Source organism: Homo sapiens, chromosome 9 (assembly GCF_000001405.40).
Source record: "Homo sapiens chromosome 9, GRCh38.p14 Primary Assembly".
Classification (NCBI taxonomy): domain Eukaryota; kingdom Metazoa; phylum Chordata; class Mammalia; order Primates; family Hominidae; genus Homo; species Homo sapiens.
Genome location: NC_000009.12, coordinates 130,692,713 through 130,705,044, shown reverse-complemented (window position 1 = coordinate 130,705,044; position 12,332 = coordinate 130,692,713). Strand labels below are relative to the sequence as shown.

Here is a 12,332-nt window from a genome sequence, read left to right as displayed (position 1 = left end):
TTTCACTGTATTGGCCGGGCTGGTCTTGAACTCCTGACCTCAGGTGATCTGCCCACTCAGCTTCCCAAAGTGCTGGATTACAGGCACATAGCACCCTTGTTTTTAAGAATGTTCCCCCAAACCTACATCAGGGCACCATTTTTAGATAGTCATCAGAAAAAACAATGCACAGGAATTCTCACATTCTTCAGCGAGAACTCTGGCGTCTTTTTATCTTTTAACTCTGAATCATCCACAAGTTAATGCTCCACACTACTTCAATTATAGGATGAAAACAGCTTTGCTTTCCCAGTCTCCATTTTTCTTTGCTTATTTTCTTCATGTTTATCTGAGTACATGGACCCAGAACATTCACTGTATTATCATGAATAATTCAGCATCTTACAAGTCACTCTCCAAGCAGGACAGATTAAGGCAGCCCGGTGTGGACATAATCACATCTATGGCTACAAGGAACACGCAACAGAAAATCAGATTCCAACCAAGCAAAAGGCTGCTTGTTTTTTTTTTTCTTTGAAACACAGTCTCGCTCTGTCACCCAGGCTGGAGTGTGGTACGCGATTTCAGCTCACTGCAACCTCCGCCTCCCAGGTTCAAGTGATTCTCCCACCTCAGCCTCCCAAATAGCTGGGACTACAGGTGCACACCACCACACCTGGCTAATTTTTTGTATTTTTAGTAGAGATGGGGTTTCACCTTGTTGGCCAGGCTGGTCTCGAACTATTGACCTCAGGTGATCTGCCCGCCTTGGCCTCCCTAAGTGCTGGGATTATAGGCGTGAGCCACCGTGCCTGGCCTGCTTGGTTAACTTTATTCTTCCAACTTTACCAGCTGCATTCTCAGTCATTTAAAGGATATAGGAATGGAGGCCAAAACAGACCATTTGGAGGTCAGGGATGCCATGTTTTCTATTGGGGCAATTTCATGGGGCACTGTGCCTTGTGAATGACAGTGAGTGGAAGACAAAGGATTCTCCATATTATTCCAGGATGGGAGCCCATTCGACTGTAACACTGTGCACTTTGAAAGAGCTGAAACTATTCCCTAATACCGGGACTCAGCTGGCAACCCAAGGAAGCACTGTTCATCTGCCACCCAGGCTTGGTGTTAGGACAGGAGAAAGCAGGCCTGTGGGCTGGAGGCCGTCACAGGGCCGTCAATGCAGACAAAGGGATGATCTCTCGAGTCTTTGCTGAGCCACATATGGGGACCACACATCACAGTCTTCACTCCTGCAAGGTCCACAGTCCCGTGCTTCTGGAGCACCTCCTTATCCCTCCTGTTCCAAAAGCCTCTGGCGTGTTTCCATCACAATCTCCTCCATTATTTCTGGCTTTAAGATGTCTTTGATCTGAAAAAGGGAAAAGGCATTTGTTCAGAAAAGAAACCAACCATAAACAGACCACCAAGCCAATCCAAACATAAATCAAGCCGTTAACATAAACTTTCTGTATTCCTTTCATGTCTCAGAGACTAAGCGTTACAAGATATGATCTGCTAGAAGCAGCCTAATAAATCAGCAAGATGCTCTGGGATATAGTCGACAAGAACAAAGATATTATTCTGACATTCATCCAAAAGCTGGCTGAAATTTGGGAGAGGTAAGATGTAGTCCAGAGGTTGCTCTCATAAACTAGTCCCACCTGACACCTCCTGCCCCAAAATCCTTAGACTGACACTAGGCATTGAGAATATTGCAAGTTTCTTAGGGAAAGATCTACCAGACACTCATTAAGGCTGTTTCAGGCCAGTTCATACTGACGGATGTTGGGAAAGTATTGGGGAGATGTGCATATTGTCTCTGAACAAACAACAGAGCAGCTCACAGATCAGTGAAGAAGGGAGAGGCCCTGGGGAGAGTACCTGATGTGGAAGGGATGCTTCATAGCAGTACAGGATGCTGGTATCATACAGCATCATCCTCTGAGTTACCAGCGAGATGATGCAGTTCCGAAGCCGGGATATCACCTCTCGATCAGCAAGAGAGACAGGCTATAAGGAGACACAGAGAGGGGAAGGGAAATACAAACAGGACCAAAATACGTGACCAGCCACAGAAATTCACAAATAAATCATTTATGACTCAGACAGTATCACCCTGGAACTCCAAATCAACCAAACAGCTAATTCCAAGGGAGATTAAAAGGAATGGGGCAGGGTGCAGTGTCTCATGTCTGTAATCCCAGCACTTTGGGAGGCCGAGGCGGGTGGATCACAAGGTCAGGAATTCAAGACCAGCCTGACCAACATGGTGAAACCCCATCTCTACTAAAAATAGATAAATTAGCAGAGCATGGTGGGGCACACCTGTAATCCCAGCTACTCAGGAGGCTGAGGCAGGAGAATCACTTGAACCCAGGAGGTGGAGCTTGCAGTGAGCCGAGATGGCACCACTGCACTCCAGCCTGGGCGACAGAGCAAGACTCCGTCTCAAAACAAAACAAAACAAAACAAACAAACAAAAAAACAGAAAAAGAATGGCTTCTTCACTGGCTCTTCGGCTATTACCCTGCAACTTTGCCACCTCCACCAACAAACACCAAACCATTCACTGAATTCATCTCCTTAGAAGAGAAGATAATATGGGCTTCATGAACATACCGTGATGGAAAGTCAAAGTGACTCAGCCTACACCAGTAACATAGCTAAAAACAACCAACTTCACTGGCCACAAAAACACAGCAAAGACTGAGCCCCCTCCATCCCACTGAAAATGGCCACAGTGTTTGCTCACCTCCAGGTTTGCAATGAAGCCCCCTGCTTCCTCTTCTTTGTGCTCAGGTGTTGGGTAAATCCAGATGAAGCCGTTGTTACCGAGAATCACTGAGGCACCACATGGCAAATCATGAAAGTGGGTCTTCTGCCGTTTCACCAGGGAGGGGGAAACCTGGACCAAAACCCCCTGACCTAGCTAAAGAAATATATCACGAAGCTAGGTCACTGCAAGATTGGCGGGATGAATGAAAAGGAGACTACAGAATATACATCCTAAGTATATTCAAATTGGTGTCCTTCCTGTTTATAATTGCTGTCGCCTACATGCATACACATAGTACACATTTTTGCAGAGAACGCTTTGGGACTCAGAGGCTATTCATACATCCCAGCAGAAGGTGACCTTCAATACTCTTCTCTGTCATTTCCCTTTGCAGTCTTCCTTGCACTCTAAGCCAGAACTCATGTGCCAGACATTAGAGAAGCTGAAGCCAATGAGGAAGTGAGCTGGAGCCTCCTGCTGGCCCAGGAGCACTGCGTTGTTCCATGACCCTAGCTCATACCTGAACCCCAAACACTCATCTTGCCTGTGAGATGTGTGCCTCTGGGTAGGTAAGGAGATGGGTGGAGCTGGGTGCAAATCCATGTCTGGTCCTGGCAGGACAGCTCAAGTCCACGTCCTGCCAAGGAAGAGTCCGCAGGACCCAGGGTTGTGAAAGTCAGCATACTGCAGCAGTCCTCTGCCTACTCCATGTACATCAACGTGGCTGTCTGCAGCCACTCCATTAAGGGAAGAGGTTTTTGTTCCACTCAGAAAATAAAAACGTTCACCCAGATAAAGCTAAGAGACTAGTAAATCCTAATTTGTTTTAGGAAGTATGCTCTCCTTAAAATAGTAAATAGCTTCAATAATGCAACCTCGTACAAGAAAAGCAGTGAAATTCCATTTAGAGGCTCAGATGACAGAGCAAGCTTTGCCAGCAATAACATCCACTGGACTGATTGGACGTTTGTCTAAGGGCTGTTTAACCAGACCCAGCCTGCCTTTGTTCCCAGGACAGCCTCAGCCCCAGTGCTGAGCTGCAGCGCCCCCTGGAGGAAGAGAGACAGCTGCACCTCCCAGCCCACAGTTGGAGGGGCTCTTCTGGTGAAAGTCAGTCTCCTTGGAGAAAAAGGATAAAACTTGTTCTTTACAAGGCTACTGACCCATGACCCTGTGAACCCTGACCGTCCTGATGTTACGTTTAAGGAACACGATCAGTTTGTGGGATGCCAGCCTCTATTAATGCTTAGCTACTGGGGTTCTTTAGGCCAGAATTCCAGAGAGCTATGGGGATTCAAAAATAGCCTTGTAGTCTCAGTCAGCAAACAGGAACATCAAGAGCCCGACTTACTTTTCCATATTTCAGGCTCCTCGTGTGCAAAGAGACAGCTCCGTCAGAGAACACTGCCTGGACCTCAGCCTGGCCAGGGTGATGAAGGAACAAACAGCAGCCTTGGCCACACACTGTCCTGTCCTCTGCAGCCTCTCCCCTTGACCCCACACCTCCATCTTTTCCTCCCCTCTCCAATGGTCCAGGCTCAACAATCTTTGACCCAGAGCACATCACTGTGACCTTACCTCTCCCCTTGGTTGTCATGAATATCTTTTTTTTAAAAATACAGACAGAAGGCCAGGTGCGGTGGCTCACACCTGTAATCCCAGCACTTTGGGAGGCTGAGGCAGGTCGATCACCTGAGGTCAGGAGTTCTAGACCAGCCTGACCAACATGGAGAAACCCCGTCTCTACTAAAAGTACAAAATTAGTCGGGCATAGTGGCGCATGCCTGTAATCCCAGCTACTCAGGAGGCTGAGGCAGGAGAATCGCTTGAACCCGGGAGGCAGAGGTTGCAGTGAGCCGAGATCCCACCATTGCACTCCAGCCTGGGCAACAAGAGTGAAACTCCGTCTCAAAAAAATAAATAAATAAATAAATAAATAAATAAATAAATAAATAAAATAAAGACAGAGGCCAGGCATGGTGGCTCATGCCCGTAATCCCAGCACTTTGGGAGGCCGAGGTGGGCAGATCACCTGAGGTCAGGAGTTTGAGACCAGCCTGGCCAATATGGTGAAACCTGTCTCTACTAAAAATACAAAAATTAGCCAGGCATGACGCACGCCGGTAATCCTAGCTATTTGGGAGGCTAAGGCAGAATTGCTTGAATCCAAGAGGCGGACGTTGCAGTGAGCCGAGATCGCGCCACTGCACTCCAGTCTGGGCAACAGAGCAAGACTCCGTCATTAAAAAAAAAGAAAAATTTAAAAAATAACATAAAATAGAGACAGAGTCTTGTTCTGTCACCCAAGCTGGAATGCAGTGGTGTGATCATAGCTTACTGTAGCCTTGAGCTCCTGGGCTCAAGCAACCCTCTGGCCCCAGCCTCCTGAGTAGCTAGGACTACAGGCATGTGCCACCACGCCCGGCTAATTCTTTTTTAATTTTTTTGTAGAGAGGGGGGTCTTGCTATGTTGCCCAGGCTGGTCTTGAACTCTTAGGCTCAAGCAGTCCTCCCTCCTTGGCCTTCCAAAGCGCTGGGATTACAGGCATGAGTCACCACACTCGGCCTGTCATTAATATCTTGACGTGAACAACACCTTCTCCACTCCCTGCGCTAAAAGTTAACACCATTAACAAAAGCCTAGTCTAAAGCACAGGCCACCGTAAGTTACAAGACCCAAAGAAATGACTTAGCAGCAGGTCCCAACAAGAGCTGGGGAGTCAGCCTGAATTAAGGAGACTGAGAAAGGATGCAGCAGAGCCCGACACTTGGTCTAAGACTCGGATCCCTGCAAGGATGACATGGTTCTTCCGTCAGAGACATACAATGGAAGGCCCATTTCCCAGTCCCACAGAAAAGCATCAAGAGGCTGGAGTGCAAAGCGCAGGATACACTGATAAGGTCCCCTTCCTGTAAGAAACCTCTCATTGCAAGCTCATCTTCTGCAGATCTTCTCCTCTGAAATACACAAAGAAATGACATTACTTAAGCCAGATCCTCAGAAAGGTCTCCATCACTTCTCTTTCACTTCCTTTTGAGATGTTTGAGGCCAACCACAATATTCAAGCACTGAGAACTATAGCAAGAGTAGGTAACCCAAGCCACTTGAGGGGAATCAGTGATAATCACGACTTTCCATCTCAAAAGACTTTTCCACAGCTCCTCTTCCTCTTTCCCTCCCTTCTCTGAGGAACATTCAGACCCCTCCCAATCTCACCTAGCCAACATTTCCATAGTCATCTTCCATGACAGCCCTCTGTGGTCCAGCAGGACCAGACTAACTCCTGCTTGGATATATCTCTGCTCATACATTTCCCTTTATCTCAGATTCCCTGAACTAGTCATTCAAAGTCTCTCCATCCTTCCAGGATCAACTCCAATGCCTGTCTTTCCTACAAGCTTCTCTCACTGAAATTTCCTTTTGTATAACCACAGCTTATTTATTCTTCTACTGCCAGGGACTAGGTCAGTTATCTTATATCCCCTGCTGGGGAACTCAATCGTGCTTGGCACTCGGCACAGAGCTTGGCACAGTAAGCCTCTCTGTAAATACACGCTGGACTGAAGATCAAGGTGAACCATGGCATTTTACAAAAGGCTGTGGCTTAGTTACTGTGGTTGTCTGGAATGCCAGCAACCACATTCCACACATGGTTGAATGAAATGCCTTTCAATTCACAAAAACCTAATGTAAAGACAACTTTTCAAGGAACATCTTCACTATGCAAGGCTGTTATATCCAAAAAGGAAAACTGTTAACAACCAGCATCTAAGGGCTTCTCTCCCCAACTCTCTGTTGGGATCCCACCCCATGGATGTTTCTGATCCTACCATATGCCAACTGCTCCCTCTTTCGGGAGACCTGGACAGGGTGAAAAGTCTACATACACATCTAGGCAGCAAACTTCACAGCAGACAAACAGGAGTCAAAGGGGCAACCTCAGTGTAAATCAAAGTCCTCTGGTGGAACAAAGGGTCCCACGGCTCCCCCCAGCCCACTGGGCCCTAGTCCATGGCCCCAGCTGTAGCCCTTACCAGCTCTCCTCCAGGAAGGTTCATGGACGAGAGCAGCAAGACCGAATCCAGCCTGGAGTTGGTCTCCACCTTCCACCTCTTCTGTTGAACCTATAAGCCAAGTTCCACACCTGGACACATGCTCCATGTTCATGTGTCATATCATAAATAACCAGTAAGGCCAGATGTGGTGGCTCACGCCTGTAATCCCAGCACTTTGGGAGGCCGAAGCTGGTGGATCACTTGAGGTCAGGAGTTTGAGACCAGCCTGACCAATATAATGAAACCCCATCTCTACTAAAAATACAAAAATTAGCTGGGCGTGGTGGCGGGTGCCTGTAATCCCAGCTACTTGGGAGGCTGAGGCAGGAGAATCGCTTGAACCTGGGAGGTGGAGGTTGCAGTGAGCCAAGATCATGCCACTGCACTCCAGCCTGGGCGACAGAGCGAGACTCCATCTCAAAAAAAAAAAAACATGAACCAGTAATCTGAAATCGAACAAGCCACATATTTACATCAGAAGCCACACAACGGCCAAATGCAATGAATGCCTTTTTCATGTAACTACAAGTGGAATGACTGTCCCATGAATGAAATCGCCAGCCTGCCTCGACTTTGTAAACACCAATCTGATATCGACGTTACCTCTGTGATTCGTCCCACTACGATGTCTCCTACTTCACCAATGTATCTGAAAGACAAAACACAAGGGGTTCATCCATCTGTGAGCAGACTTTCTGACAAGACCACACACCATTTGAGATGTCGGTTCAACAGGGTGAAAGCCTGGAACAGGCGCCACATTCAGCAAATTCATGTAACTATATTGTCTGGACTTACTTTCAGAAACTGCTAACTTCAAACATTCCTCCACGTATAAAGTCTCCATTAACTATCCTTAGACATATCACCATTCCAAGTAGTTCATTTAGCCCAAAAACCCTATTTTGTTCGATTACACGACAATGAAAAACACGGACTATTTTCCTGTGGCACATGGATGAGTTCTGCACCAGCCAAAGGAAGAGAAAGGAAATCTGAGCCAGGACTCCAACCACACAAGTCTGCTCACGTCTCCTCCACTTACTCACTGCCTGCTCCTCTCAAGCCCCTTTGCTAGTTCCTTACCCGCGATTCTAATGAGACGTACTCAGTGCTGAGGCTAAGTCCTTAGACCTCTTCACTTTTCGGCCACTCAATCTAATACCTTTAAAACACCACTCTGTGCTGTGACTGTGCCACTCTCCTGAATTCCAAATCCTACTCAACTGCTAGCTACCCAACTCTGCCATCTAGATGACTAACAGGCATTTTCAAATGTATCAAGCACAAAACTAAGCTTTCCCGCAGCCCCCTCCAGTCCTCCATAGCAAACCGAGATAGGGGATGAGTTGTCCCCATCTCAGTCAACGGTGACTCCATCCCCTCAGTTGCTCAGGCCAAAAACCTCGGAGAGTTCCTTGATTCCTCTCTCTCTCTCACGCTCCAGGACAAGTCCAGTAGCAAAACCTGTTGGCTCTACCCTTAAAACATATGCAGGAAATAAAAGGCATCCAAATTGGAAAGGAAGAAGTAAACTTATTTCTATTCACAGTTGACGGGGTCCTATGCACAGTAAAGCCCAAAGAATACAAAACCCAACAGCTTTTCATGATTTTAAAAAAACACTCGGAAAATAAAATCTGTGTAGATTCCAATCACTCCTCCACCTTCCACTGCTCCCACCTTAGTTGAAGCCACCATCACTTCAGATCATGAGTATGGTCCCTAATCCACCTCCCTAAGCTTGCCCTATCCCCCTTCAATCTCCCATCAGCAGCCAGAGTGAGCTTAAGTCCAGATCAAGTCCCTCCTCTGCTCCACCCCTTCCAGTGCTTCCCAGATTACACAAAGTAGAAGCCAAAATGCTTACTCTGGCTACAAGGCAGGCCCACGCCCGCCCACCTCAGCTCTCTGCTTACATCTGCCCCTTCTCTCCCCCTCACTCACTCTGTTCCAACCCCACTGGCTTGCTTTCTGGGGCTAACCTTCATTGAATGCTTCTAGGTATCAGGCTCTGTGCTAAATACTTTACAGGCACCATCTCACTGAATTCTAAAGAAAATCCTAGGCCAGGCACAGTGGCTCACGCCTGTAATCCCAGCACTTTGGGAGGCCAAGTGGGGGGAAATCATCAGAGGTCAGCAGTTCGAGACCAGCCTGGCCAACATGGTGAAACCCTGTCTCTACTAAAAATCGAAAAAAATTAGCCAGGCGTGGTGGAGGGCGCCTGTAATCCCAGCTACTCGGGAGGCTGAAGAAGGAGAATTGTTTGAACCCGGGAGGCGAAGGTTGTAGTGAGCCGAGATCACGCCACTGCACTCCAGCCTCGGCAACAGAGTAAGACTCCATCTCGGAAAAAAAAAAAAAAAAAAAAAGAGAAAATCCTATGAAGTAGGCCATGCTATTATACTCACTTTGCAGAGGAGGTAACCAAGGCTTGGAGTGGTGACATAACATGGGGAAACCTCTGAAGCCTGCACTGATCTGCACCACCCCACCTACAGTCATGGTCAAAACCTCAGACTTACAGCATGACAGGGCAGGCAGGGGTGGGGTGGGGGATAAGGAGGGGGCAGGAAAAGCCTGGTTGTACAACCTGATGCTGCAAGAAAGGGAATACACACCTTTTGTTCTCACCTGGTTTTCAAAGCTTTCACACAGATCAACTTGTTTACTCTCTCCACAGAGCCAGCAACAGATGCAATGAGCTTCTCTTCTCCCATATACGTTCCATGGCCCCTGATGCAAGGCGAAGATACAAAGAAAGGATACGAGGGTAACTCGAAATGACTTCTCTCCCTTCAAGAACAACGTGTTCCTCAAAGCTAACAGGCTCCCCCTGCAAAGCGTGGCTTCTGTGCTGGCTGCTCCCTCTGCCTTCAGTGCTCCTTCTCCAGACAGCTACTTGGACATCACTCCTCTCACTCAGGTCTGCTCAGGTGTCACTTTCTGCAGCAGGCCTACCTTGACTGTGCCATTGAAAACACAGCCCACCCTGTTGCCACCATTCCCCCCACATACCATTGACCCTGCTCCACTTTTTTCCCTATTGCATTATTGCCTAACATTCTGAATAACTTATTCATTGCGCTTATTATCTATCTCTCCCTGTTAGAACTCCACCAGGACAGAGATTTTTCACTCTGCCATAATAACCCAACTGCACAAAATATATGTTGAAAGCATTAATGAAAGAATGAATCTTAAGATTTCCTAGGGGCCAGGCATGGTGGCTCATGCCTGTAATCCCAGCACTTTGGGAGGCCGAGGCGGGCAGATCACACTTGAGGTCAGGGGATCGAGACCAGCCTGGCCAACACAGTGAAACCCTGTCTCTACTAAAAAAAAAAAAAACCAAAAATTAGCTAGGCATGGTGGCGTGCACCTGTAATCCCAGCTACTCAGGAGGCTGAGGCAGGAGAATCACTTGAACCCAGGAGGCAGAGGTTGCAGTGAGCCGAGATCGCACGACTGATCTAAGACAGACTCCGTCTCAAAAAAGAAAAAAAAATTTCCTGGTATCCACTAACCTTAAACTAACAGGTTAAAGGGCAATGCTATGAATGCTGTGCCCCTTGTACATATACAAGTAAAAAAATAATAATAATAAAGGTTGAAACACTAGTGTTATCTATGATGATATAATGGCTGGTTTTACTTCTTTTCTTACATAATTGTCTCATTTAATCCTCATTACCGTATCATACTGTTATTATCACTATCTTACAGATGAGGAAACTGACCGTGGAGAGGCAATGCCGCTAATAAGATGTGATGGTAGCAGGACCGGAACCCCAACTGTCTGACTCAAGAGCCTTCCCTCTTAACCACAATACACTGCACTACACCCCTTAGATTCAAAATGTGTATAAATGGGTGCATGCAGCACAATGTAACTGTTTGCCCTAAGATCGAACAATTACGGATTCTAAACTGAAGAGGAGGCAGCCAAGAACGCCCACCGTCCCCTCAGAGAGCTGAAAACTGGAAAAGAGCCTGCACCTAACCCTCCCCAGCTTTCCAGGTCTCCCACAAGGAAGGATCAAAGATTTGGACTTCAGGCAGAAGACCCAAAAGTCACAGCCACCGGAGGTCAGGAGTGGAGGGTTTCAGGGAGCTGAGACAAATGCAGACGGGGACACACAAGATGCAGGGAGCAAGAAGCACGAGGCTCGGAAGCGAGGTGTGTAGGATGCTCAGACGAAGTGCCCTGGGTCCCGCGGGGAGTTACACACACAGGGATACGAGGCCTGGACCACGTGCAGAGAGCCCTGAAGCCGCTCTCTGAAGCCTCGACTCCCCCAAGTCCCCACGTACCGCATGAATCCTGTGTCCGTAGTGATTGTATCCCCCGGCACCACTAGATGTTTCTTAGTGTCGCGGCCCAGTCTCTCGCTAAGAGGCTTGCGAGCCACTGGAAGCCTCATCTCCATCGCCATCTTGGCGCCAATGAGTTGCGCAGGCGCAGCTCAGTCGGGAGCTGCGATATCCGACTCCACAACTCCAGGCCGCGTTCGGAGGGGCGGGGAAGGGCGGGGACTCAGAGCAGCTGCCAATGAGAACTCACGGCCTAGAGGCCATGTTTACAATTGGCAACAATAAGGCGAACCCGAAGGGAAGGGAGCCGAGCTGCCATGTCTACTATTGGCAAGGAAGCACCCGTGGAATAATAAAATCTCACGTTGTGTGGCGTGTGACTTTTTACCAAAACTGTCTTGTACTCATCATCCCATTTATTGTTTACCAGGGTTAGAGATAATTGAGAAACGGACCTCTGAGTTTCTGTCCAATTCTAAGCTGCTGAAATCCGATATTTTGTAAGAGAGAGCTCAGGAGGATGGAGAGATGGGATCTACAGAAAACACTATTTGAACAGAAAGAAGAGCCCCTTTCCACACGGTTCCCAGTAGCGCCAGGATTCTACATTGCGGCCGCCCCGTGGGTGCTGGCTCAACATCATCATCTATAACCCCAAACCGGGCTCCAGATACTTCTCACTTGGTTCTGTCCTTTCATAAGGACTCCTTTGAACAAGCTAATTTACTCCAATATTTCTTTTGGAAACAAGTTAAAAATCGTCTAAGAAAACAGGTCAAACCTTGCAAGCCAGGTATATTTGGTAGGGAAGGGAAGAGCACACACAATGCGAAGATCTTGGCTTGCATTTAGTTACACAGCGAGTTGAGCGCTCTCTGTGTGCCAGGCGCTGTTCTAAGGACTCAGCGGGGAACAGACGGATGTCTCTGTGGGTTTTTCTGCGGCTCCGTTTTAATAGGAGGGTACCCCTCGCCCCTTCTCCCCGTCCCCCACTACCCTCTCCCTCTCCTTGCCCTGCATTCACAAGAAACTAATTGGGGATGGTAACTCCCCATGCACAGGGACTCTAAAGACGATTAAATGAAATCATTGGCATCAGCTGTGGTCAGTAAAGCCGGTAAACCAAGTCCGCCTCCTGAAGAAAGATCCATCGAGCCAATTGTTTTATAAATCTCCAAAGCGACAGCATTTCTTCCACTTA

General features: G+C 47.8%; 1 protein-coding gene across 6 annotated transcripts, besides 2 other annotated features; it reads right to left on the bottom strand.

Annotated features, from left to right (window-relative positions):
• Positions 1-150: 150 nt before the first annotated feature.
• On the bottom strand, positions 151-11,285 carry EXOSC2 (exosome component 2). Of its 6 annotated transcripts, NM_014285.7 has the most exons (9): positions 11,132-11,265; positions 9,452-9,553; positions 7,418-7,463; positions 6,794-6,883; positions 5,651-5,716; positions 4,110-4,178; positions 2,735-2,911; positions 1,864-1,992; positions 153-1,351 (listed from the first exon to the last, which is right to left on the bottom strand). In NM_014285.7, the coding sequence occupies exons 1-9, from the start codon at positions 11,251-11,253 to the stop codon at positions 1,271-1,273; spliced, it is 882 nt and encodes a 293-aa protein (NP_055100.2). In that variant the 5' UTR covers positions 11,254-11,265; the 3' UTR covers positions 153-1,270. The 6 variants fall into 6 exon arrangements, 5 of the variants coding, with proteins under 5 accessions (NP_001269637.1, NP_001269638.1, XP_005272233.1 ...); NR_104230.1 differs by lacking the exon at positions 4,110-4,178 and having other exon boundaries at positions 151-1,351; positions 2,735-3,486; positions 11,132-11,285; NM_001282708.1 differs by lacking the exon at positions 4,110-4,178 and having other exon boundaries at positions 151-1,351; positions 2,735-2,902; positions 11,132-11,285.
• Positions 5,713-5,822: an enhancer, noted in NCBI's record as "active region_29157". NCBI's record gives its function as "activates an Ori minimal core promoter by ATAC-STARR-seq in GM12878 lymphoblastoid cells {active_cell/tissue: GM12878}" and the evidence as "EXISTENCE:reporter gene assay evidence [ECO:0000049][PMID:35858748]".
• Positions 11,013-11,202: an enhancer, noted in NCBI's record as "active region_29156". NCBI's record gives its function as "activates an Ori minimal core promoter by ATAC-STARR-seq in GM12878 lymphoblastoid cells {active_cell/tissue: GM12878}" and the evidence as "EXISTENCE:reporter gene assay evidence [ECO:0000049][PMID:35858748]".

What these genes read in the sequence shown, in the direction of transcription:
- EXOSC2 (NM_014285.7), bottom strand. Translation starts at nt 11,253, where the DNA reads ATGGCGATGGAGATGAGGCTTCCAGTGGCTCGCAAGCCTCTTAGCGAG. An exon ending in ACCTTCCTGGAGGAGAGCTG is followed by an intron (nt 5,717 to 6,793) that starts GTAAGGGCTACA and finishes TGTGTATTTCAG; the next exon opens with AGGAGAAGATCTGCAGAAGA. An exon ending in AGGAAGGGGACCTTATCAGT is followed by an intron (nt 4,179 to 5,650) that starts GTATCCTGCGCT and finishes CACCCTGGCCAG; the next exon opens with GCTGAGGTCCAGGCAGTGTT.